This window comes from Homo sapiens, chromosome X (genome assembly GCF_000001405.40).
Source record: "Homo sapiens chromosome X, GRCh38.p14 Primary Assembly".
NCBI classification, from domain to species: Eukaryota; Metazoa; Chordata; class Mammalia; order Primates; family Hominidae; genus Homo; species Homo sapiens.
In genome coordinates, this window is record NC_000023.11 from 8,645,930 (window position 1) to 8,672,517 (window position 26,588).

At 42.8% G+C, this 26,588-nt stretch overlaps 1 protein-coding gene across 2 annotated transcripts in view, besides 1 other annotated feature; it reads right to left on the reverse strand.

Annotated features, from left to right (window-relative positions):
- Positions 1-26,588, reverse strand: part of ANOS1 (anosmin 1) — a 203,264-nt gene that overhangs the window by 117,056 nt on the left and 59,620 nt on the right. The window lies entirely within an intron of this gene.
- Positions 4,681-5,205: an enhancer, noted in NCBI's record as "NANOG-H3K27ac-H3K4me1 hESC enhancer chrX:8618651-8619175 (GRCh37/hg19 assembly coordinates)". NCBI's record gives its function as "activates a minimal SCP1, AML or CMV promoter by ChIP-STARR-seq in naive H9 embryonic stem cells {active_cell/tissue: H9 hESC(naive)}" and the evidence as "EXISTENCE:reporter gene assay evidence [ECO:0000049][PMID:30033119]".

Here is a 26,588-nt window from a genome sequence, read left to right on the forward strand (position 1 = left end):
CACCACTCCTGGCTGTGTCTGGGTAATTTTTGTATTTTTGTAGAGATGGGGTTTCACAATGTTGGCCAGGCTGGTCTTGAACTCCTGACCTCAGGTGATCCACCCCCTCCCCCCTCAGCCTCCCAAAGTGCTGGGATTACAGGCGTGAGCCACCGTGCTGGGACAATTTTATTCTTTTAGGTTAATAATAAAGAGCGAAAGGAAAGATGGTGAGTCTAGCAACAAGGCAATAAACATAGGACAGTCAAGGAAGACATCTTTTTTTGAGACATGGTTTTACTCCTGTCACCCAGGCTGGAGTTCAGTGGCGCGACCTCAGCTCACTGCAGCCTTGACCCGCCAGGCTCAAGCGATTCTCCCATCTCAGCTTCCTGAGTAGCTGGGACTATCGGTGCGTGCCATCACCTGTAATAGGCATGCCATCACCTGTAGTAGCCGCCACCTGTAGTAGGCAGATAAAGTAGGATTTTGTGGGCCTAGTGATTTTGGAAACCATAGCTAGGCCTTTAAAGTCCTTTGAGAATTGCTACATTGAAGTGATACTGTATTTCTCAGCATGAAAATAAATGTGAACGCTAACACTCATTTTCCATCTTTTCATGGCTGCAATAGAAAGCTTCATGTATTTTGTAGATTACAATTATAAGTAAAGGCTAATCCCCTTCCCTGCCAAAAGGGGGAAGGCTTGAGAATAAAATCCTGTTTCAAAAGAAGATTTCTGGACCGGCGTGGTGGCTCACATCTGTAACCCCAGCACTTTGGGAGGCTGCAGCGGGTGGATTGCTTTGAGGTCAGGAGTTCAAGACGAGCTTGGCCAACATCATGAAACCCTACCTCTACTAAAAATACAAAAATTAGCTTGGCGTGGTGGTGCACGCCTGTAATCCCAGCTACTTGGGAGGCTAAGGCAGGAGGATTACTTGAACCCAGGAGGTGGAGGTTATAGTGAGTCGACATTGCACCACTGCACTCCACCCTGGGCTACAGAGTGCGAACCTGTCTCAAAAAAAAAAAAAAAAAAAAGAAGATTTCACAGGGCACTTGCATGCTACCAATGAGATCGAGGTGGAGGGTCCGATCCTTGTCTAGGGTACAATTTGTCGTGAGCATAGAACGCTTTGTTCTACCATCAAAGGCAGAAATGTACTATTCATCTTGTATAGGCAGGGTGTCTCAGCCTCCACGCTACTGACATGCAGGGCTTATCCATAAGCCTTTGTTGTGGGGGGCAGTTCTGTGCATTGGAGGATATTAGCAACTTCGATGCTAGTAGCACTTCCATCCTCAGGTGTGAAAGCCCGAAATGTCTCAAAACATTGCCAAATGCCCCCCAGGGACAAGAACTGCCCCCGGGTTGAGAACCAGTGATATAGGGTACATGCTTATAAATAAATAAGCACGAAACCATCACCACCATAGGGAAAGGCATTCAGAACAAGTCTTTCTGGTTATGACTCAGAACCCTCATCTCCACAATATTGATTTCCCAATCACACAGTCCAGATGGAAATTCTAAGAAAGGGCTAACTCACGTAGGCTAGGAGAGAAGCAATTCACTGTCACCGCAATTCAAAGGATGATAGAAAAGAGCAAGCAAAATATATAGCAAGTCGCACTAACACTTGAAAATAACTTGAGAGCTTTCAAACAATTCCCACAAATCCAAACTGCTTTGAAGCATATTTCTATGATAATTCTGGAATCTTTATGTAAAAAAAAAGTGAACTCTTAGCTTTTGAGTGAGTTGAGTGTATTGCCAGCTTAGAAACTATTTTAGAGACATTTTTCCTCTTAGCTACAAGCAGTAAGCAAGTGCACTTCGTATGTTCAATCTCCTTAAGAAAAGACCTGGGACTTCATTAGGGTGAGTGACAGAGGAGAAAATGAATCGTTTGAGCCAAAAAAGCATCTTAAACCTATACCTTTTAATAATTTCTCATTTCAACACCCTGACATGCTCTATGCAGCTTGGGCATCTCATTAGGGACAAATAATATCATCAGAACTTCCCATCTCCACAAAGCATTTGAAATCCAGTGAGTTTATTAAATGGCATAGTGTTATAAATTGATAAATGTTATAAATTTATAAACTGTATAAATGTTATAAATTGATAAACTGTACAAATATTATAAATTGATAGACAAAACAATTAAAATAATGCTTCCAGGATGAACTAATCTTCGTAGTGGAAAACAATTTATATGCCTCCAAAGTGAACCAATATGATATATTAAAATAGAACAATTGGCCAGGCGTAGTTGCTCATGCCTGTAATCCCAGCACTTTGGGAGGCCAAGGCAGGTGGATCACCTGAAGTCAGGAGTTCCAGACAAGCCTGGCCAACATGGTGAAACCCAGTCTGTACTAAAAGTACAAAAATTAGCCGGGCATGGTGGTGGGTGCTTGTAATCCCAGCTACTTGGGAGGCTGAGGCAGGAAAATTGCTTAAACCTGGGAGGCCGAGGTTGCAGTCAGCTGAAATCGTGCCACTGTACTCCAGCCTGGGGGACAAGGCAAAATTCCGTCAAAAAAAAAAAAAAAAAAGAACAATTACATGGAAATTATTGTGTAACTGAGGAAACAAATTTAACTGGATGAAGTAAATGCCACAAAAATGCAATAAACACTCAAATAACTATTTGCCATAAATCTAGTCTAAAATAATGACAATCATTTAAAAATTGCTGTATCTAAGTTGAGGAGTTAAAAATTGTTTGTGTTAATTTTTAATTCTTTATATTTGGACTATTGTTCATAAAAGTAATATCATAGAAATTACACTTATTATCAAATAGCAATATTATTTTAACAATGCTTTCATGAATCTCCAAAAGGTCCACATATGCTATTAAATAGCCAGTTTTGACATATATACTTTCTATCTTTCTATAATTCCGTTGATGTCTTTGTTCAGTAAATGCAAAGATTAGTCCTGTGGGATGTTAAAGAACACTACCAGCATCAGGTGCACTCTAGGTGTTTAGTAAAGAAAAATTGAATCCAAGAGAGAATAGCCACTTAGACACCTTTTCTTTGATATAAAGGACCAATAAACGGACAGTCTCCCCAGGCAGCATCTCCTTTATCAGCCTCCATTAAAATGGTTCCAATACAGAAAGGTGTTAAGAAGTGAAAATCCACTAGACATACGCTTCACTACCCTCGTCTACAGCTCCCCCAGGAACGATACCCAAATTCCTTTAGTGCCCAGAGTATTCACAAAAGGGCCGGTCCTGACCTCCAAGATGTTTCATAAATTATAAAGTCAAATCTATTGTCTACATCTCTGATGGTGAGAGGCAGGTATGGATGGAAGCATTGAGGGAAAACAAAATGTCAGGGTTTATTAACCCCAAGTAAGAGCGAGAAGAGTCCCATTTTTACTGCTGAGGATTTTATGACCCAGGGAGTTGACATACGTGACTATGTCTAGGGCAATATATCTTGATAGTGACAAAGCTAGAACTTGAAGATATGTCTCATCATGGCCAGCCCACCATCATCCCCAGGGATTCACCAATGAGCCATCTTATCAACATGGTCCACAGAGGTGGGACCTACCATTACCATTCCCATCTCCTCCTCTGCTTTATTTGTTGCCATACGCCTTATTATCCTCTTATATCAATGAGGACAAGACTTTTGTCTTTGTCCATATCAGTATCCCCAAGAACACTTTGCATAAGCAATAGGTATTCAGTGAACGAATACAACAATAAAATTGCATCAACCTGAGTCTTAACATGTCCAAGTTCCCCAATTTAAAATTTCTCAACAATGGTAACAATCATCTCAAATTTTGCCTGCATAAAATGGTGCTCCAACAAGTCCCATCCACTTCTCAGCTACATCTTCTGGGTGCAACAGCCTGCTGAGCCCCAATCTGGGGGTTGCAGTGGATTTCCCAGGAAGCCAATCAAGTTCAAGGTGGCCCCTCACTTGTAGGAGCCCCTTCCATGGCACTGGAAGAGACCCAGGAAATGTGTTCACATGCAAATTATAAAATTTGCAAAATTAACCTATTTTCTTTTTGTTAAACTACATAAGCTTGCATCTCACATGCCTAAATCCTGTAGAAGTGACAGGCTTTATATTTGACAATGACTTGCCCAGTGTTACTTGTGTCTACTGCTTATGATAGTTTCCTGGGGGACCCATAAGTAGTGTAATCCTCTTGAGACTTGCAACTTTTTCTGGAGGTTCCAGTTCTCCTGGGTCCCTCCTGGCATTTCCAGGCAACTGCAGAACACTGCAGTGTCCCTGAGCTTTGCTAAACCATTGCTTTGGAATGTGCTGATAAACACATCTGCTGGTGCATTTCCCATTTTCTGTTTCTGAGGAGATCCTGAAGCCTTCTTGGATAATCAGGAGGAGAATCTGAACATGTCAAATCACATGTATTTGTAAATGAGAACAGCATGGTCAGAAATCAGAGCTAGAAGATGGGTTAAATAGAACAACAGTAGGCGTTTCAAGAGGATAGCAAAAAAAGAGAGGGTTGAAGATATCCTACTATAAAATATCATCTGAAAAAGATAAACAGGCTAGGCCAAGGTGGGCGGATCACTTGAAGTCAGGAGTTCAAGACTAGCCTGACCAACATGGTGAAACGTCGTCTCTACTAGAAATACAAAAATGAGCTGGGAATGGTGGCGGACGTCTGTAATCCCAGCTACTCAGGAAGCTGAGGCAGGAGAATCTTTTGAGCCCGGGAGACGGTGGTGGCAGTGAGCTGAGATAGCGCCACTGCACTCCAGTCCAGGCAACAGAGTGAGTGAGACTCCATTTCAAAAAAAGATACAGGGGCTGATGAGAATGAATTATCGCCCACAGGAGGCTGTCCTTTTGACCACACTGCTGAATCAAAGTCAAAGGAGAGGTGTAGACAGGGGGAAACAAAATCCAATTTGTAGTCACAGAGGGAGTACTGGGTGAAAAACATTTTGAAAAGGAGTCGGGGCTCAACAGAACTAGTTTATCAATGAAAGACATTTCAAAGCCTTGAAAGAAAAATTACTAATGCCCATTGCTAATTAATCATTCTACAGATTCTCATGCAAATGTTCTTTGGATGGCTTTGATCTGCACTGACACCTGAAAGAAAGCACACAGTGTCTCCGGACGGGAGCGATGCCTGGGAGGCAATGGCATGTGTGGGTACACAGCCCCCTGTATGATCCCCTAATACCCTGGGAACTCTGGAGCCGCTGAGGGCGGCCAAGCCACAGAAAGCAGGGCTCCAGCCTAGCCCATGCTAGGACCTCAGAGATGGCTCCACTGTGGCCCTTTACCTCCCAAACCACAAAACACACCCTGATCAAAAGCAGATGGCCTTCCCATGCCCTCGTCCTTAACACCAATGCAAATCGCCTCCCAGAACTGTTCAATACTCCCATACTCACTGAAAGGAGAACTGAATACGTTAAGGTCTTGAAGAATTGGGGAGAAAAATGTTAAATAAAATTAACTAGATATTGGCAAAGTAACAAAACTGTTACCTCATCGATGGGGGAAAAAAAAGACTACTTGGGGAAAATTAAAGAGAAATCCTTTTTCAAAGCTATGTTCTCACCAATGGGTAGCCAAGTGTCTTCAATTTCGTAGTCTTACCTGATTTATAACAGGAGTTTGTCTGAGAGATAGACCTCATTTAAAATTTAAAATTATGTGAAATCAAGAAACGATTTCCCAAGTTGAGATCTCTCCACTGGCTTCCACAAGGTCACTCAATAATAAAACATTTTGAAGTGGGAAATTGCTCGTACAAAACTAGGCACATTGCCGCCTTCCTACCCACGTGGAATAAACTCCTGTCTGCCTAGTAGTTTAGCTGACATTTCATTTACTTTCCTAAAGTTTCAGCCACAATTAGTGATCAAAGACATCTGGGGTCCTGTCTCCCTAGGGTGTACTCCCAGGGAACATTCATTTTAGACAGCAGGTAAAGAAAACAAGGAAGTCGTTGGCACTGGCCTGATGTGCATTTATTTTTTATTTACTTGGTTTTTTGTTTGGTTTTGTTTCTGTTTTTTGACAGAGCCTCACGGTGTCACCCAGGCTACAGTGTAGTGGTACAATCACAGCTCAGTGACACCTACATCTCCTGGGCTCAAGCAATCCTCCACCTCAGCCTCCCGAGTAGCTGGGACTACAAGCATGCACCACCATGCCTGGCTAATTTTTTTTCCTCACTAATTTTTGAAAGATTTTTGTAGAGGTAGGGTCTTGCTATGTTGCCCAGGTTGGTCACTAACACCTGGCTTCAGGCGATCCTCCCACCTCTGGCTCCCAAAGCGCTGAGATTACAGGTGTGAGCCACTGCACCTGGCCTCCCATGTACATTTAGTTTCTGATTTTTGTTTTTAGGAATGATTCAACATGATACACATATTCATAAGAAATAGCAAAATAACCTAAAATGGAAGTTAGCAAGAAGAAATAAGAGGGAATGAGGACATCAAGTGGAATCTGTAAAGAGTGTGATACCAAACTACACTCTACTGAGTCCTCAACACCCACTGAATGTAGGCCACAAATTTGGATTTCAGCTTCCTAATTCCCAACAGGAAAAGAAGAACTTGATCAATTCCTACAATGCAAGTATTCACATAAGTTAAAAGCATGAAAGGAACCTGGAAGAACAATTATCCCCAATACAAAATCTAAAAATAATTTTCTTCTGAAGTTAAGAAATATCACGTTCTAACAATAGAAGGTACTCAAGCATCCTCACCATGGCAAGGTTGAGGAGTTTCATAGAGCTCTTCTTCATGGCATGCCTCACACAAGGATAGCATCTCACCAAAGCAAAGTCAGTATCATCAATTCTACAGGGTCCAACAAATTGCATGAGCATAACCAGTCCTCTGTCCACCTGGACCAAACCAGTCTTTGTGCTTACTTATTTAATTAAATTTATTTATTTATTTATTTTTATTTTTGAGACAGAGTCTTGCTCTGTCACCCAGGTTGTAGAGCAGAGGCACGATCTCTGCTCACTGCAACCTCTGTCTCCCGGGTTCAAGCAATCCTCCTGCCTCAGCCTCCCGAGTAGCTGAGACTACAGGCATGCAGCACCACACTCGGCTAATTTTTGTATTTTTAGTAGAGACAGAGTTTCACCACGTTGGACAGGCTGGTCTCAAACTCCTGGTCTCAAGTGATCCACCCGCCTCAACCTCCCAAAATGCTGGTATTATAGGCATGAGCCACTGTGCCCAGCCATCATGCTTACTTAGAATACTGAGTATAATTCAGTATTATTATACTCACACTCACTCACACTAAGATCTGTTTCTTTTGTTCTTGCTTTTATCATCTGCTCACCTCTTCATTGCAGTTGCTTTAGATTTGGTCATCTCGGGGTGAAAGAAGAAATAGGGCTCAACCTGTAGCTATTGGAACAGGTCTACATGAACCCACTGTCATTTTGCTTGGATGCTCTCCTAGATTGAATGTTCCTGGACTGAGAGCCTAGTAACCAGATAGTGGATTCTTGTTATCTACTCCAGTAAGTGAAGTGGTGCCTCCATCCTTGGAGTCATCCTGGACCTCTCTCCTCCCAATTTCAATCCTTCAGCAGATCCTGTAGGCTCCACCTTGAAAGTACTTCCCCACATACCTACAATCTCTGCCTTACTTCCTCCAGATTTCTGCTCAAGTGTACAAATACACATGACCTTTTTACCTTACTTGTCGGAAAATAAACACCCTCCTCAAACCCTAGTTCCCCTTATCTGGCTCAATTTTTCTCCCTGGTTCTCCTTACTAACCACAGTACTTGAATTGGCTCACTGCGTTTTTTGTCTGTCTCACGCTAGAAGGGAGTTTCATGTGGGCATGGTATGTGTCTGTCTTTTCACCCTATGGTCCAGAGTCCATAAAAGCTTTCAGCACACAGTAGGTATTCAATAAATATCCAGTGCATGAGTGAAGAAGGAGACAGCATGACATGGGGTTGCAGAAAAGAAGCCAATGACTTTGTTTTCATGTTAAATTGTATTGAGTAGCAAGCATGATGCCACATTTGAGGGATTCAGTAGTGACCAGAACTGAAATGGCTATAGCCCTCCAGCCAGCTAAATCCCTTGGCACTGATCCTAAAAGACACAAAATTCATGGCTGTGAATATCAGCTTGAGCCTCAGATCCTTCTCTGTCTTTACTCTCAACTCCAAGCCATCCAGCCCCAGGGCTAGAGCTGACACTGCCTTCGTTAAACCTGTTCCCCTGGTTCTTGAAGCCAAATTTGGTCTTATGTCTCCCATAGGTCTGTATCAGGAGGGCAGATGATTCTGGCACAATACTTCAGTATAAACAAACCACATGTGTAACCAAAAAGCAACCAATAAAATTAAGTACGAATGTTCCCCAGCAAAGACAATCTGTGCTCTGCTCCAAAGGAATAGAATTCCATAAAAGAAAAAAAGAAAGCTGTGGTTTTCTTGAAGGTCTATCTCTATTCCATTCACCTGTACAGATATTTATCTCAGTAACCAAATATGTTTTTGACCTACTGCTAAAAATTCACCACCATGGGAACTAAAATAAAACAAAAGTCTTTTTACAAGCACAGATTTTACAAACCTCGATTCTTGCTTTCATCTCCGTTTTATTCACCAAGTGTAGAAGCAGTACACTTTCTAAAGAATTTAACATAAAGAGCCTTTAACGTCTCCAAGAAGCAAAGTTCATGAAGAGCCCACCCTGTGATTCCCTGTCCCATGACTACGGCTCTCAGTACGGTGTGTTGACATGATTTCTCATCTGTTCACTGCTCTAGAATAGTCTATCAGCTCCTTAAAATCAGGGGCCGGGTGTCTCATTCAAAGTTTGGCAAGCTAAGCCCATTGGGAAATGAATCCACTCTGACATTTGCTTTTGTACAGCCCCATGGTGATATTTAATTTTCAAATGGTTGAAAAAAAATAATATTTTGTAACACCTGATAATTATATGAAAATCAAACATCAGTGTCCAAACACGAAGTTTCAATGGGATGTAGCCATGCCCATTCATTGCCAGATTATCTATGGCTGCTTTCACGCTATGTCAGCTACATTAGCAGTCCCCAACCTTTTTAGCACCAGGATCTGGTTTTGTGGAATATATTTTTTTTTTCCATGGACTGGGTGAGGAGGAGGAGAATGGTTTCTGGATGATTCAAGAGCATTACATTTACTGTGCACTTTATTTCTATTATTATTACATTGTAATATATAATGAAATAATTATAAAACTCACCATGATGTAGAATCAGTGTGAGCCCTGAGCTTGTTTTCCTGAAACTAGACGGTCCCATCTGGGGGTGATGGGAGACAGTGACAGATCATCAGGCATTAGATTCTCATAAGGAGCCTGCAACCTAGATCCCTCACATGTGCAGTTCACAACAGGGTTTGTTTGCACTCCTATGAGAACCTAATGTTGCCACTGATCTGACAGGAGGCGGAGCTCAGGTGGTGATGTGAGCCATGGTGAGTAGCTGTAAATACAGAATAAGCTTTGCTTGCTCACCCAGCACTCACCTCCTGCTGTGTAGCCTGGTTCCTAACAGGCCATGGACCATTAGGGGTCCGAGGCCCTAGGATTGGGGACACTTGAGACACATCACCACAATCATGCTACATCGTCACACTGAGTGGTTGCAACAGAGACAACTCTGTCCCAGGAAGCCCAAGACACTTGTCATCTGGCCCTTTAGAGAAATAATTTTCCAGCCCCTGGTCTAATTTATCTCCTCCTCCCCACAGTGCAGCAAGGACCTAGAACATAGCTGATGTTCATCAGTGTTTATTAAAATGAACTGAAATTGTCAGCAAAACTCTGACCTCTGGAAATAATCTGAGATCCCCCAAATTATTATTTTGTTATCTTATAAAGCACTTCTAATACAATTAGCAAAGGCTCTAGCAATTACAAAGCAAACTCATCTCTCATAGAAAGTTCCCCAGCTAGGAAAAACTGGAGAAGGTAATTTTATCTGATGGTATGTCATTCAGTCCAAGTCCCTCAAAACATCAGTGGAGTAAGCAGAACTGTGGAATTGTTTCTTTGATTCCAGGAATCCTAGAATCAATACCCAACACCATTATCACACACACGAGCATTAGGCCTTGCCAAGGGTAGCAGCCAGTAAATATCAGGAATGGAGCTAAGGAATCAGAAAATTGAAAGAGGCCCCAATTTTTATGCCTACAATATCTGACCCAGCCACTACCTGCACATCTCCACTTCATAAGACATCTTTCTGCATTCCCGCAAATGTGTCAAATTGGGAGAAAATCCTTCCTCATATCAAAGCAGGGCTAAACCTGTTGCCTCTCTACCTTTGATCCAGCAGTGATAGTTAAAAGCACAGGCTGATGCATTAGAATGCCTTGTTGTGAAATGTCCTAGGAGCCTGGCAAATTGTGTAGCCTTTCTCTGCCTCAGTTTTCTTGTCAATACCATGGGGACAAAAACATACCTGTGAGTCTTGCCCAACAATATTTAAGGCACCTACCTTTCATGATACGAGTCAGCCATACCCTGTCCATCCAGCTGCTTGGAACCTTTACTGCCCTCATCCTTTGGGGCAGACTTTCCATTTTCCTTTATGCCCTGAGCCACTCATTCATCCTCGTCTAAGTTGCTAAGCTTTTCTACTGAAGTTATTGCAATCATTGCAAATATCTTCTTACCCATCTCCCTGCCTCCTGAGTCTCTACAAATTGGTTCTTCCCATGGAAGCCAGTACCTTTCTGCATGGCATGGATCCCTGTTCTGCAAAGTCCAGGCTCTTTGGAACACAGTTCTCAACGCCATACATGACTTGAAAAGCTCAACTCCCGATGTGAGGCTCTTGGCGTTCACCCTCAGATGACCATATGTTCCCCCAATGAGCCAGTACCTCAGGTTCCCCAGACACATGCTGAGGGAGTCTGTGCAGTAAGAAATCTGATCTCACTCAAAGAGAGATCTGTTGTCCCTACCCCTGGGAGGCAATCTCTAAACTTGGGATGTCCTGAGTGGTAGGTGTCTTTGTTATTCATGGTGCCCCTAGGACCATGCCTGTTAGTTTTTGCTAGTTAGGAGGCACCTGGTAGAGCCCCTCCAGGCCAATTGGTATGAGCCCAATCTCCAGAGAAGTGGGAAGGGGGCAGGCAGAGATTGATTTTAACCACACGGGTCATGGCTCGATCAATCATGCCTACGGCATGAAGCCTCAGTAAAAACTCTGGACACTTGAGCTCAGGTGACTTCCCACGTGGGTGATATTTCGTGCATCCTACCATGTGTGGAAATGCATCCTGAAAACAATGGAAGCTTCGCATTGGGAATTCCCCTAGACTCTACCCTGTGAACTCCTCTTTTGGCTGGTTCAGATTCAGATCATATCCCTGTAATAGACGTGAGCCTTAGCATAATAGCCTGCAGTGAATCCTGGGGGTATTTTTAGCAAATTGTGAAACCTGAGGGTGGTTTTGAGAAATGCTGAACTTGTGGTTGGGCAGACATCTTGAACATACTTGGCAATTTGGAGGACTGTGCTTGCTTTTTTTTTTTTTTTTTTTTTTACGGAGTCTTGCTCTGTCGCCCAGGCTGGAGTGCAGTGGCACGATACCAGCTCACTGCAACCTCTGCCTCCCGGGTTCAAGCGACTCTCCTGCCTCAGCCTCCTGAGTAGCTGGGATTACAGGCACGTGCCACCACGCCAAACAGATTTTTGTATTTTTAGTAGAGATGGGGTTTTACCATGTTGGTCAGGCTGGTCTTGATCTCCTGACCTTGTGATCCGCCTGCCTCAGCCTCCCAAAGTGCTGGGATTACAGGCATGAGCCACCGCACCCAGCCAGGACTATGCTCTTAACCTCAGAGGTTGGCACAGTCTGGTTTTACATGATCCTAAGATGGAGAATAAGGAAGAAGGGGAGTGAGGCAGGGGACAGAAGGGAGTCCAGGGTACACTAAGGTAATGCTTTATGCTCTGAGTACCTGGGGGTCACCTGCACTGGGAACCACTGGGAGTCTGTTCTCCTTCTCAAGTGACAGGGAAGCCATGGTATTTCTCATCTACTACCTCCTGTCTATTGGCACTTGAGGGCAGTTCCCGAGGGCATTAACTCCCAGTACCTCTAGCCTGCTTCTCAGTCAGAATAGGGAAGTTTCCACACTATGAGCAAGTTCTCAGATAGAGAGTGGCAGATGCAGCAGAAAGAGCTGTGGGTGCTCAATGTATTGGCAAGCACCATGGAAGGGACATGGTTAATGCCCTACTGCATGAGCTCAGCTATTTCTAATGCCTCAGATATGCCCTGGTGCCTCTTGCTTTCTTGTAACATGCTGTCCAACCTCCCTGTTGGACACGGCCAAACCCCTCCACCTCCCACGCTTCCAATTAGCTAGCTCTTCCTCAGAGGTCAGCTTTAATTTGTCCCAGGGTTATGGGTCCTTCTCCTATTTTCCCTGCCAGTTCACTTATAGCATTTTCAAGCTGTTAAAATTTCCTCTTTATTGCTTGTTTTCCCTCCTAAGACTATGTACTGCTTAAAGGTTGGACTCATCTGTTTTTTAACCTCCATGCCAAAGATACTTACGAATTGTTCAATGAATATCTATCTGTTGGATGGATGAATTCATTCTGGGACTGAATGTATGAATGAATTTAATACTTGCTCTCAGGAGCAGTCTCACCTTAGAGGGGGTCACAAAAATTCGAATGGAATAATTGTAGCCATGGAACAACCTCCTTGATGAAGATATGCTGGAAAATATCTTCACAAGCCCTCAGATTACACCACCTAGATTAGAGGACTACCTCTTCTGCTCTCACTTTGCAGGTAAAGAGGCATGCACCAGAATGCTGTGGAAACATGATCAAGAGTGGATGGCAGGCTGGGCACAGTGGCTCACACCTGTAATCCCAGCACTTTGGGAGGCTGAAGTGGGAGGATTGCTTGAGGCCAGGAGTTTGTGACCAGCTTGGGCAACATAGAAAGACTTTGTCTCTACAGAAATAAAAAATTAGCAGGGAGGCCAGGCACGGTGGCTCACGTCTGTAATCCCAGCCCTTTGGGAGGCCGAGGCGGGCGGATCACGTCAGGAGTTTGAGACCAGTCTGGCCAACATAGTGAAACACTGTCTCTACTAAAAATACACAAAAAATTATCCGGGTGTGGTGGTGTGTGCCTGTAATCCCAGCTACTCAGGAGGATGAGGCAGGAGAATCGCGTGAACCCGGGAGGCGGAGGTTGCAGTGAGCCAAGATCGTGCCATTGCACTCCAGCCTGGGCAAGAGAATGAGACTCTGTCTCAATAAAAAAAAAAAAAATACACATCTATGTATATATTAGTAGGGTGTGGTGATGTGTGCCTGTAGTCTCAGCTACTCTGGAGGCTAAGTCAGGAGGATTGAATGTGACCAGGAAGTAGAAGCTACAGTGAGCTATAATTGTGCCACTGCACTCCAGCCTGAGCGACAGAGTGAGACTCTTTCTCTCTCTCTCTCTTTCTTTTTCTTTCTTTCTTCCTTCCTTTCCTCCCTCCCTCCCTCCTTCCTTGCTTGCTCTCTTCCTTCCTTCCTTCTCTCCCTCCCTGCTTGCTTGCTTTTCTTTCTTTCTTTCTCTTTCCTTCCTTCCTTCCTTCCTTCCTTCCTCCCTGCTTGCTTGCTTGCCTTCCTTCCTTCCTTCCTTCCTTCCTTCCTTCCTTCCTTCCTTCCTTCTTTCTTTTCTCTTTTTTCAGGGTCTCACTCTGTCACCCAGGCTGGAGTACAGTGGTGCAATCTTGGCTCACTGCAACCTCCACCTCCCAGGCTCAAGTGATTTTCCTGCCTCAGCCTCCCGAGTAGCTGGGACTACAAGTGTGCGTCACCACACCCAGCTGATTTTTGTACTTTTAGTAGAGATGGGATTTTGCCATGTTGGCCAGGCTGGTTTCAAACTCCTGGCCTCAAGTGATCCACCCACCTCAGTCTCCCAAAGTGCTGGGATTATAGGCATGAGCCACTGCGCCCAGCTTGTTTTTAGAGAAAAACAAAAACAAAAAGCAAAAAAGAGAGTAGATGGCAGGTTGGAGGAGGGACACTTTCACACTTTGGCCAAGTTCTCAGGCAGATGTAGGCAGAAATGCACTAGAACATCATGGAAAACATGAACAAGAGCAGACATCAGCTTGACACCCACTGAACACAGGGGAGCCAGCATAGAGGAGAAGGGGCTACCTTCCTGCATATAACATGAAACCCATCCCTGATAATGACTTCCGAGGCAGCTCTCTGGGCAACGCTGTCTTGTTCCATACACACAAAAACTTGTTTCTTGTTCCACACACACAAAAAGGTCTCAGGTGGACATGTGGACATTGTCTTTGGGAGACTGGCTTAGGTTTGTTTGTGTTCTCCCCATTCCTCTGCCTTCTCCTGACTAGGCATCAGACTCAAGTTTGGCCCTTGCACATACTTCTCCCTGATGAGTTATTAATACTAACCTTTGCTTGCACCATGAACTTTAATGACATGCCCAAGGTCAGCCAGCTTGCCAGACTGGCTCTAAAACCCACCTCATTTTATGACCAAGAGATATGGCCAGGGACGGGGGCTCATATCTGTCATCCCAGCCCTCTAGGAGGCCAAGGTGGGAGGATTGCTTGAGCCCAGGAGTTCGAGACCAGCCTGGGCAACATAGTGAGACCCTGTCTATAATTTTAAAAAGAAAATTTTTAAAAAAGAGAAATGCATATAGACTTTAACCCAAAACTATGATATAATCTTGTTGAGAATACAAACTCTGCTTCATGCTTCCTATGCATACATGCCCTAAAGAATGTATAGAGTATCCTGTAAGTAGCATGTCTTTGATATATATTTATCATAATAAATAAAACTTTAATGGCCCAGAGAGTGCTACAAGCCGGGGCAGGCCTAGAAGCTGAACAGCAAACAGGAGGACAAGAGAACCACAGCAGTGCAAAGTAGAAGACATTTTTAAGTAACACACTACACATTACAGCAGTACACAGAGCAGCCAGGTGAGAAATTATGAGGATCTAGGTGGATGGGTCAGTTTTCTAGAAATGCCACAATAAAGTCCCATAGACTGGGCAGCCTAAACAACAGACTATTTATTTTCCCACACCCCTGGAGGCTGGAAGTTGAAAATCAAGGTGTGGGCAGGGCTGGTTCCTCCAGAAGCCTCTCTCCTTGGCTTGTAGATGCTGTCTTCTCCCTGTGTCCTCATGTGGTCGACCCTCTGTGTGTGTCTATGTCCTCATCTCCTCTTCTTATGAGATGTCTTATTCATTTCAGGCTGCTATCACAGAATACCATAGACCGGGCAGTTTATAAACAACAGACATTTACTCTCCCACAGTCCTGAAGGCTGAAAGTCCAAGATCAAGGTGTGGGCAGGGTTGGTGCCTCCTGAGGCCCCTCTCCTGGGCTTGTAGATGTTGTCTTCTCCCTGTGTCCTCACCAGGTCATCCCTCTGTACATGTCTGTGTCCTCATCTTCTTACAAGGACAACCGGTCCTATAGGATCAGGGCCCTCCCTAATGACCTCATTTTACCTTAATTACCCCTTTAAAGACCCTAACTCCAAATACAGTCACATTCTGAGCAACTGGGGGTTAGGACTTCAACATCTGAATTTGCAGGGAAGACAGAATACAGCCCGTAACAGTAGACTTTTTGGAATGCTACTGCCTGTTTGATTTTAATGCAGGATTATATTTGACTACAAGTCCAAACACTATAGCTAGCCTAGAAGGGTTGCAGCCATAACAAAGGTAATAAAGAACCACCTTCCCCATGACCCCCATGTGGTCCTTGCCCCCTGATGGTCCTGGGCAAGCACAGTTGATCACAATCCCAATTAGCACTGTTACTTCTAGGAGCTTAAAAACAACAGCATCGCGTTTCAACTAGCCCTTCTGCCAGAGTGCATGTGCTACAATAACATACTGTAAGGGACGGACATCAAACAGGAGCACATCCTCTCGGGGAAACTGCAAGAAAGAGGGTTTAAAACACTCCAATGAAATGGAGCAAGCTGCAATGACCATTAAGGACACGCTGAGCACAGAAAACTCAACAAAGATGAAAGAAGAAAGAGGAACTAAACCAACACTAGTCCTTGGTAAATTACATGAACCTCGTTTCTTGGTATCTTTTGATTACACTCAGGCCTGAGGCATCTGTAGTCCTGCATCAGGCTGATGCCCCTGAAGCCCAAGATCTCACTCCCAGCTCTGCTCTTAATGCAGGACCCACAATTTTTGCTTTCTTCTGTAAATGACCAGATAGTGGATATTTTAGGCAGGGATGGCTTCAAGGGTGAGCAAATTACAGTCACGCAGGGCCCCACATTTAGAAGGGGCCCAACCTTGGTTTAATGCTTTGCCATCACTGTCTTCAGATTCTTAATTTTTCAAAGGGGCCTTGCATTCTCATTTTTCACCGGGTTCTGCGTATAACACCACAGGTCCTGGTTTTCATCTTCGCGGGCCATGCAGTTTCCACTGAAATTATTTGACTCTGCCGGTGTAGTGCAAAATCAGCTACAGACCATAAGAAAATGAATAAGTGTGGCTGTGCTCCAATAACATTTCATGTGGGATGCTGTCATAGATTGGACTGTGTTCCCCCCAAAATTGATATGTTGGGCCCCCAGTACCCTGGAATGTGACCTTATTTAGAAATAGAGTCTTTGCAAATGTAATTGCTTAAGATGAGGTGTTTAGGGTGGGCCCTCACCCAATGACTGGTCTCCTTATAACAAGGAAAAATTTGTACATAGACAGAGATACACATAGAGGGAAAAAGATGTGGAGAAGGCCAGGTGCCGTGGCTCACGCCTGTAATCCCAGCACTTTGGGAGGCCGAGGCAGGCGGATCATCTGAGGTCAGGAGTTCGAGATCAGTCTGGCCAACATGGTGAAACCCCGTCTCTACTAAAAAAATACAAAAATTAGCCAGGCATGGTGGCAGGCACCTGTAATTTCAGCTCCTCAGGAGGGTGAGGCAGGAGAATCGCTTGAACCCGGGAGGCGGAGGTTGCGATGAGCCAAGATCGTGCTAGCCTGGGCAAAAAGAGTGAAACTCTGTCTCAAAATAAATAAATAAATAAAATAAAATAAAATAAAATAAAGATGTGGAGACATAGGAAGAACATCTACAAGCCAAGGAGAGAAGCCTGGAACTCATCCCTCCCTCATAGCCCTCTCAGAAGGAACCAACCCCACTGACACCTTGGTTCACACTTCCAGTCTCCAAAATTGTGAGACAATAAATTTCTGTTGTTTAAGCAAAGCTGTTTGTGATACTTTATCACAGCAGCCTGAGCAAACTGATAAGAGATACGGAAATTTAAATTGCATATAATTTTCATGTGTCAAAAAACATTCTGTTTCTTTGGATTTTTTTTTCATCATTTAAAAATGCAAAACCCATTCTTAGCTCATGAGCCATACAAAAATAGGTAGCAGGGCAGATTTGGGCTGCAGGCAGTAGTTTGCTGACTCCTATTGAAACTGTGCCCCGAGGAGTTAAAGAAACCAATGACTAACAGAAATTCTTGAGTTTGCAGGATGGTAGATAAGAAAAGAAACAACCTGCTGAAATGCTGAAACTCCCTATGCTTGTAAGATAACAAAACTGGCTGAAATCAGTTGGAACCAATAGATCCAACTGGAGCCTGCCCAGAACAAAGCTTGCTGACATCATGGCCTGAATTTCTATCTTGTGTTTCCTACTAACTCCCTCTGAATGTGATCCATGAAGTACTGTGAAGAGGTAACTATGCCTGCCCAAGGACTTTCCATACCTTCCCTTTCCTTCCACCAATCAACCACTAATCCCAGGATCCACCTTTTCTAATAAAATTATTACATTACATGGAATCAATCCAATGCCCATCAATGATAAACTGGATAAAGAAAATGTAGTACATATGCACCATAGAATACTATGTAGCCATAAAAAGAGATCATGTCCTTTGCAGGGACGTGGGTGGAGCTGGGAGCCTCAGCAAACTAACACAGGAGCAGAAAACCAAACCCTGCATGTTCTCACTTATAAGTGAGAGCTGAACAATGAGAACACATGGACACAGGGAGGGGAACACACACTGGGGCCTGTCAAAGGGGTGGGGGAAGGGAGAACATCAGGATAAATAGCTAATGCATAGGTGATGGGTTGATAGGTGCGACAAACCATCATGGCACATGTTTACCTACGTAACAAATCTGCACGTCCTGCACATGTATCCCAGAACATAAAATAAACTTTGTTTGTTTGTTTTCTGAGATGGAGTCTCACTCTGTCGCCCAGGCCGGAGTGCAGTGGCGCGATCTTGGCTCACTGCAAGCTCTGCCTCCCGGGTTCACGCCATTCTCCTGCCTCAGCCTCCCGAGTAGCTGGGACTACAGGAGTGCGCCACCACGCCCGGCTAATTTTTTTGTATTTTTTTAGTAGAGACGGGGTTTCACCATGTTAGCCAGGATGGTCTCAATCTCCTGACCTCGTGATCCGCCCACCTTGGCCTCCCAAAGTGCTGGGATTACAGGTGTGAGCCACCGCCCCCGGCCAGGGATTTTTTTTTTTAATATGGTACTTTGTAGCCTCTGGAACAGCAATACAGAAATTCCAGCCACTACAAAATAAATGTATGCGTGCATGCACACACACACATACACACACACCCCTTTACCCTTTCAGTTGAGCCTTTTCCATAAACAAATTCACCCTCCCTTGATGAACTTGATTTGCAAGGCTAAAACCAAATAAGGTGTAAGTTAAGAGGAGAGCCTGCTGACACAAGGGTACCCCACGGTCTCTGCAGATAGGTTTCTCCTCCTGGTAAAATCTCAACAGGCACAGAGGGCAAGAAAGAAGAGCAGCCACGGTGGTGTCTCTGCCTCCATCACAGGCTCTTCTGCATTCTTTCTCTAGCACCATTTCTCTTTTTGAAGAACTCAGTGATTATGGCTTTTGGGGCACAATTTCACAGGTCCGCATAAGCAGATGTTTTTATGCATATCGTCTCCCCCAGGGCTCTCTTGTGAACACTGTATAAGCAGGCACACAAAATGATGAACAAAGCGTCCCCAGGACCCCTCTGAGATAGAGTTGATCTCAGGCATGAGCAAGAGAACGACAAGACAAGCCTGAAGCATCCCGTCATGCTGCAAAGGCGGGACGTGCTCCCAGAATGACAGGCACTCATCCAACGGACGCAGCAGTGTGCTTCAAAATTCCCCACAAGTCAAACCTTGACAAACTGGATATCAAAACAAATAATGGTGGGAATGGATTCCAACCCATTTCAATACTTCAGAACCCATGAGTCCATAGTGACAACACACAAATAAGAAGATAAAGCTCTGCCTTAAAACAGAAAGTAAATTACTAACTGCATAAAGAAAGAAGTGCCTGGCAGTGCCCAGGCTGATCTGTCACAGAGTTGTACTTCAGAGGTGAGATATTGCACTCCCTAACTCAATCACTAGTCAAAAGGTCTTGTTAATACAAAAGACTTTTCTAATCTTGGAAAAAAATAGTGGAAGGTAATACTGTCCAATGCTAATAGCTAGGTGGTAGATATATGGGTAACATTTTTTCCCTCCAACTATTTCCATTCTTTACGTATTTTGAATGGGTGTGTACTGCTTTTCTCATGCTCATAAAGACAATTGTTGAACTCTAAAACATCAAAATATTTCATTATTAAGACTACTCAGTATGGATGTAAATATTGCAGGTGCTGAGATGTTGGGGACCCAATTCACTTAAACATTTTTTAAATTCTCCTTTTATATAAGTTACTAGTATTGGAAAATAAAACAATCAGTTAAGTTGACCTTCAATAACTTAAGAGATAATGGTGGCAATATCCACCATGATTATTTTAGCAAAGCAAATTACTTTGGATGATATTCTTTAACATTTAAAACGTTGGCATTTCTTTACTCCAAGTCCTCCATGCCCCATTTTTTAAAAAGAAAGGGAAGAGAAAGACCAGACTTGGTGGCCAACACCTATGATGCTTGAGCTTTGGGAGGCTGAGGCAGGAGGATTGCTTGACCCCAGGGGTTCAAGACCAGCCTGGGAGACATAGCAAGATCTTGTCTCTTCAAAGAAAAAAAAAATTAATTAGCTGGACATGGTGGTATGCACCTGTAGTCCCAAGGCTGAGGCAGGAGGATCGCTTGAGGCCAGGAGTTCAAGGCTGCAGTGAGCTACAATCACGCCACTGGACTCTAGCCCAGGTGACAGAGCAACAACCTGTCTCTAAAAACAAATATGATACTAATAAAAGAAAAGAAAAAAATCCCAAATTTTAACCTTATTATATAATCTTTGATGTATATTTACCAGTATGAAGAGTCCCCTTTGTTGTATTTAACAAATTCTAAAGAATAACACGGTTATAGGGAAAATAAAGGAAATAGAAAGAGGTTAAGAATGTTTACATTTTCACTATTATCAATTCAACAACTCCCCAACCAGTATTAGATTATTTTCCCTATATCATAAATGTCATAATAAAAAATGAAATAAGGTTCCTGGAGCCTGAGAGAAAATAAATACATATACACACACAATGGAGTCATAAAATCTGCAACATTGTAAGTTTTCCCGTTGTAACTTTCAATGTGTTGAAGCATCTTCTTAGTTGGTTACAATGAACACTGAAAAAGCTAAATTGATATATCCCCAAAGTCATGAAATGGTATCTCAGACACAGGGATGACCTTCAGAGGAAAAATGCTCCACATTCCCCACATGCCCAAGAAGCAAAAATGGACAGACTGTTTTTGTACTAAATGAAACTGTGGCGTCCATCCAAAATGTGGACATTGACATCGGCGCTGATAAGTCCCCTTCAACTTTGCATTTCCTCCTCGTCTCCAGGCTTCTTCATAACTGGAAATTTTGACTCTCACACAACTCACTTCACCTTGTATGCCCCAGGATGAGGTTGAGGGGGGCCCAGACAACATCACCCCATGAGGGGAAACTGCCCCAAACAAATACACCAAGTATCAGCAGTAGGAATAGCCAGGGAGAAAATATACCCTGCTCTAGGCTAATTTGACTATGAAAAAGTTTCATTTTTAGGCCAGCCATTACCCATGGCTTGGGCTGAATAGTATAGAACTCCATAGGTGTTAGAAATTATAAACTCTGTCCTCCTGATGCTTTCACCCAAGGCTGTCCCATCAGGTGCTCAGAGCTGCTGAAATTTCTCCTTAAAATTCTAGCACCACAACATTCAAGTCTAAAAAGTGGAGGAATTGAGTTTACATTGGTTTGACTGGATATTCAAGCCTTCCCGTACTGGACAAATGAAACTCTTCTCTAATTTCCATAAAGCTTTTGTTTGTTTGTTTGTTTGTTTTTTGCGGGGGGATGGGGGTGGGGAGTTGGTTGTTTTCTTGAGACAGAGCCTTGCTATGTTGGCCAGCATGGACTCAAACTCCTGGGCTTAAGCAACCCTCCTGCTTCAGCCTCCAGAGTACCCGGAATTAAAGGTGTGCACCACTGTGCGAGCTTCATTCAAGTTTTAGAACTTCATCCTTAATTTTAGACAAAAACAGAGGAAACCATCTCATCAAATCACTCCACATTTTAAATAGAAAAGCAGAGTTCCAGAGAATGAAAACCACTGTGGGCCGGGGCTTGCACAGTGGGCAAGAGACGAAGTGTTGACTGTAATGTGGGTCACACACCCTTTGTTCATTTCAGACCCTGTGAGGTCTACTGGAGATAAAATATCATCAGCCGTATGGGGGTTGCTTCTTAGAAGGAGTAAGGTAAGGTAGAGTAAGGTAAGGGATTTAGTGGCCCAATACCAGAAAGGAGTAGTGTGTTTTTAGAAGACATTCTCCCAAATCCTGCCTGGCCGAGAAGGGTAAGAGTATGGCTGTGGAGGATTAGGAGAGTGGGGGAGCTGAGAGCATGAATTGTAGAGCCAGATGGACTGGATTAGAATCTTGTCACTCTTGCCTTCCCCATATGCATAATGAGAAAAGAGGAATAACTATTTTGTAGAAGTGCAATGAGGTCTGAGTGACTGCAAAATGCTGACGAGTGTCAAGTGTCAGGCGTATTTAAGGTATTTTTAAATTTTTTTTTTATTTCCATAGGTTATTGGGGAACAGGTGGTATTTGGTTACATGAGTAAGTTCTTTAGTGGTGATTTGTGAGATTTTGGTGCACCCATCACCCGAGCAGTATACACTGAACCCAATTTGTAGCCTTTTATCCCTCACCCCCTTCTCACCCTTTCCCCGAATCCACAAAGTCCATTATGTCATTATTATGCTTTTGCATCCTCATAGCTTAGCTCCCACTTAGGAGTGAGAATATATGATGTTTAGTTTTCCATTCCTGAGTTACTTCACTTAGAATAATAGTTTCTAATCTCATCCAGGTTGCTGCAAATGCCATTAATTCATTCCTTTTTATGGCTGAATAGTATTCCATCATATATATATATATATATATATATATATATATATATACACACACATACATATATATATATGGTATTCCATCATATACATATATGATAGTCCATATATATATATGGTATTCCATCATATATATATGATAGTCCATATATATATATATATATGATGGAATACCATATATATATATGATGGAATACTATATTATATATACCATATATATATCACAATTTCTTTATCCACTCATTGACTGATGATCATTTGGGTTGATTCCACATTTTTACAATTGTGAATTGAGGCACACATAAGGTCTACTAAGTTAAAACAATAGCAATGAAAACCTCCACGTCTATAGTACCAGAATTGGGATTATCAACAAAGGTGCAGGGTGCCAGCTTCCAGAATACCACTGACCCAAGAGAGGCAAATCAACCTGTGGGAGCCATTAACCTTCCACTGTTCTAGCCACAAACACATCGTTTGACTGATCGACTTTGAGTCAAAAGGTTTGGGATGAGAAAGGGGAGTCACAGTATCAAAACGATCAAGTCTCCAGAGCCTGGTAGGAGTTCTGAGTCACTCTCCTTTTTAACTTCCTCCTTGCTTATCTGCAGCTGCTCTCTGCCGCCTGACGGCCTTTTGCCCAGGAGGTCAGAGAAGGCAAAGCTGTCTCTCAGTAATTGGAGATGTCTGGCTCTGTGTGTGGGAAGTTGAAGGGACACTTGGTGGTGCCTTCCTCCCTCAAAGCGTCACAGCAAGTCCTTTCATTGTGGCTAAGCGGAAATAGCCAAAAGAGAAAGGGAAAATATCGTCTCTTATGAAGACAACAAGAAGACCAGGGGTGTGGAATGGGAGAAGGATGACCAGGCACAGCACAGGGTATTTCTAGGACTAGGAAATCATGGTATAAGATAATGTAAAGGTGGATGCATGACTTTATGCATTTGTCAAACACCACAGCATATACAACAGCAAGAGTAAACCCCAATGTAAACTATGGATTATAGTTAATAGTAATGTATCGATAGTAATCCATCAGTTGTAACAAATGTATCACACTAATGCAAGATAACAGTAGGGGAAATACCAGGGAGGAGGAAGGGAGGGCATGGGAACTCTTCATTTTCCACTCCAAATCATCATATGGCTGATGATATTCAGCATCCAATAGACCTCACAGGGTCTGAAATGGAATGCCTTATCAGGCCCAAAACTGCTAAAAAAAAAAATAGCCTATTATTTTCTAAATCTCAGATTGCTTAATATTCTTATATACATGATTAATAATGTGTACTATTATGTATGTACATCATAATATAGGTAATCTCATGCATAATATTTAACTAACGATGATACCTGTAAGAATTTATCACTTAATTACAAAGGCTGTGTTGAGATTAACAGTCCTTCAAAGAAGGTGGATGGGTTGAGATGATGTGGTAGATCAGAAAGAAAGCACAATTTAGAATCCTATATAGAAGTTTTCTGAAAAACAGACACACAGAACCGATTGCTTTAATTATCTTACCATCATTTGGATAGGGTAAACACACCAGTTTGCATATACTCTTAAGTAACTTTCATCCAAGTACAGCTGACATGAAGGTAGCTTGCCCAATAGATAAACGATGAGAGAAAAGTAGAGAAAACATTTACTATCTTTTTTATTCATAAATTCTAACCCTCCCCCACAAAATGTGTTGGAACTATGTGATTAATTCTATTAAAAGTATGCTCGTTCTGTCTGTAAATCTGTGGAGTAAAAAAAAAAAAAATTCAGGAGTGGTTCCCCATCATCAGAATCTGGGCTCATCATTTCCTTCTTTCCCTGAGTTTATAAAGTATCTATCAGCATAGTGCCTAAGATGTACCAGAACATTTACAGAAATCATGATTTCCTTTTGTTTTTGAAGCCTCATGGACCTGCAAGGTAAAGTTTTATTTTTCTAATCATTATTTTGGAGAAGAAAAGGGCAGGGAGATAATGGTGATGGATGCAGCCGAGAGTTGGGATTGGAATTGGCGTTGGCTCATTCCTCAGCCTCTGATTCCAATTGGCTGTACCACCTAACATCCATCATGTCGCCTTCTCACCGAGGCCAACATTTCAGAAAATGCCAGTCCTCATCTCTCCAACCACGCTTGTTTAATTACCATTGAGGGAAGCAACTACAAATACTCCTAGGGCCAAACCCTGGAAGAATCCCAGCAACACACAGAAATATTGAACTTACCCAAGAATTTTCCTAGATGGCCATAAATACCATGAAATTCTGGACAACTCAAATTTACATCTCTAGTCCTGACTGTTTCTGGGCCAGAGACTTCAGATGTCCACCTGCCTGTTTAGTAGCTCCCCTTGATATAATCTCACAGGCTTAAACTTATTATGCCCAAAATGAATTTTAACAGGGCTTCCCTTTTTCACACAAGGAAAAGCCCGGCTGCTCCTCTTCCAGTCGCCTTCACCTAAGTAACTGGCCTTTCTCCCCACTTTCCTAAGAAACTGGCATCAGAACGGATGTTTCCATCTCCCTCGCTTCTTGTATCCAACCCTGGCCAATTTTGCCTCCCATCTCCCGAAATCCATCCGCCTCACCCTGCCTTCACTGCAGCCTCACCTGAGTGAGCTACCCACCTCTTCTGTCTAAATTAGTGTGTTTGTTTTGGAACCAGACTCCCGCTTTCCATTCTCAGCCTTCTTCATCATTCCCCAAAATATCTTGTGTCAAATCATTCCCCTCCTTACAGCCTCTCTGGCTTCCATCACTGCACTTTATACAGAATATAAAAGACTTGATCCTCTAAGGCCCTGTCGCCAGGTGTCCTGTCATGATACAGCAGCTTCTTAAACTTCTCTATAGGTACCAAATAATTTTCCACCTCAGTGCCATTGTACGTGCTCTTCTCTTTAACTAGAAAACCCGACTCTTCAGAAGTTCATATCCTCAGAGAACTTTTGCAATAATTCATATCTCCTATCTTTCTTAGCATAGTACCCTATTTTCTCAAAATCATGTAATACCATGTGTATTAACTGAGCAAACACTGACTTCCTTACTTTCTTAAGACCTTCTGTGTTTAGTGTACTAATTCTGCTCCATGAAGGCACGGTCTATATCTGTATGAGTAGTACCTTGCAATCTTTTGTCAAATAAAACAACATCTATACATAATTTACATGATAATGCTGCATATTATGTGTATGAGTATATATATATATATATGGTCTTGTATACATTATATATATACTATATATATAGTATATGCTGTATAGTATATATATGTACCATATACATAGTATACAATAGTATAGTATATATATAAGACCAGTATACAAGTATACAAGACCATAAGTGAAAAAATTCCAACGACAGGAATTAATTTGCTTTCTTTTTTAACTTTCAAAAAAATTATTATTTAATTGGCAAATAAAAACTATATATAATTATTGTGCAGAACATGCTTTAAAATATGTACACATTGTGGAATAGTTAAGGTAGTTAACGTATGCATTACTTCACATATTAATTTTTTTGTGGTGAGAACACTCAAGATCTACTCTTTCAGTGATTTTCCGGAATACAATACATTATTAACTATAGCCACCATGTTGTACAATAGATTTCTTGACCTTACTCCTCCTAACTGAAATTTTGTATCATTTGACCAACATGTCCCCAAACTACCTCCTTCCCAATTTTCTTAAATTTCATTAAAAAATCTCTTCCTGGAAGAAATCACAGTAGTAGACTGATGACTGGCTTTACATATACACACATGCACATACACACACACACACACACACACACAGACACAAACACACCCCAGTCATGTTTACACCACACCACTCCTCTGAGGTCAGATTGAGTTAACACTGGAGCCCACTCTGCATGCAATGGGAGCTTGCAAACCCACCTTTATGGCAGGGAGCATCAGGCCTTCAGTGGCCCCTGCATGTGAACTGCCTCCATGGTCTGATGCTGAGGACACCCTGCTGGTAATGCAGAGAACTGTGCATAGAAATCCCTAATCTGCCTGTCCAGTTCCCCCTGAATTGGCTTGAAGCAGTGGGAAGTCGAACCACACAAGAGAGTTTCCTTGTCAAGTGACCGGAGGTCAGTGTTATTATCTCTGTCA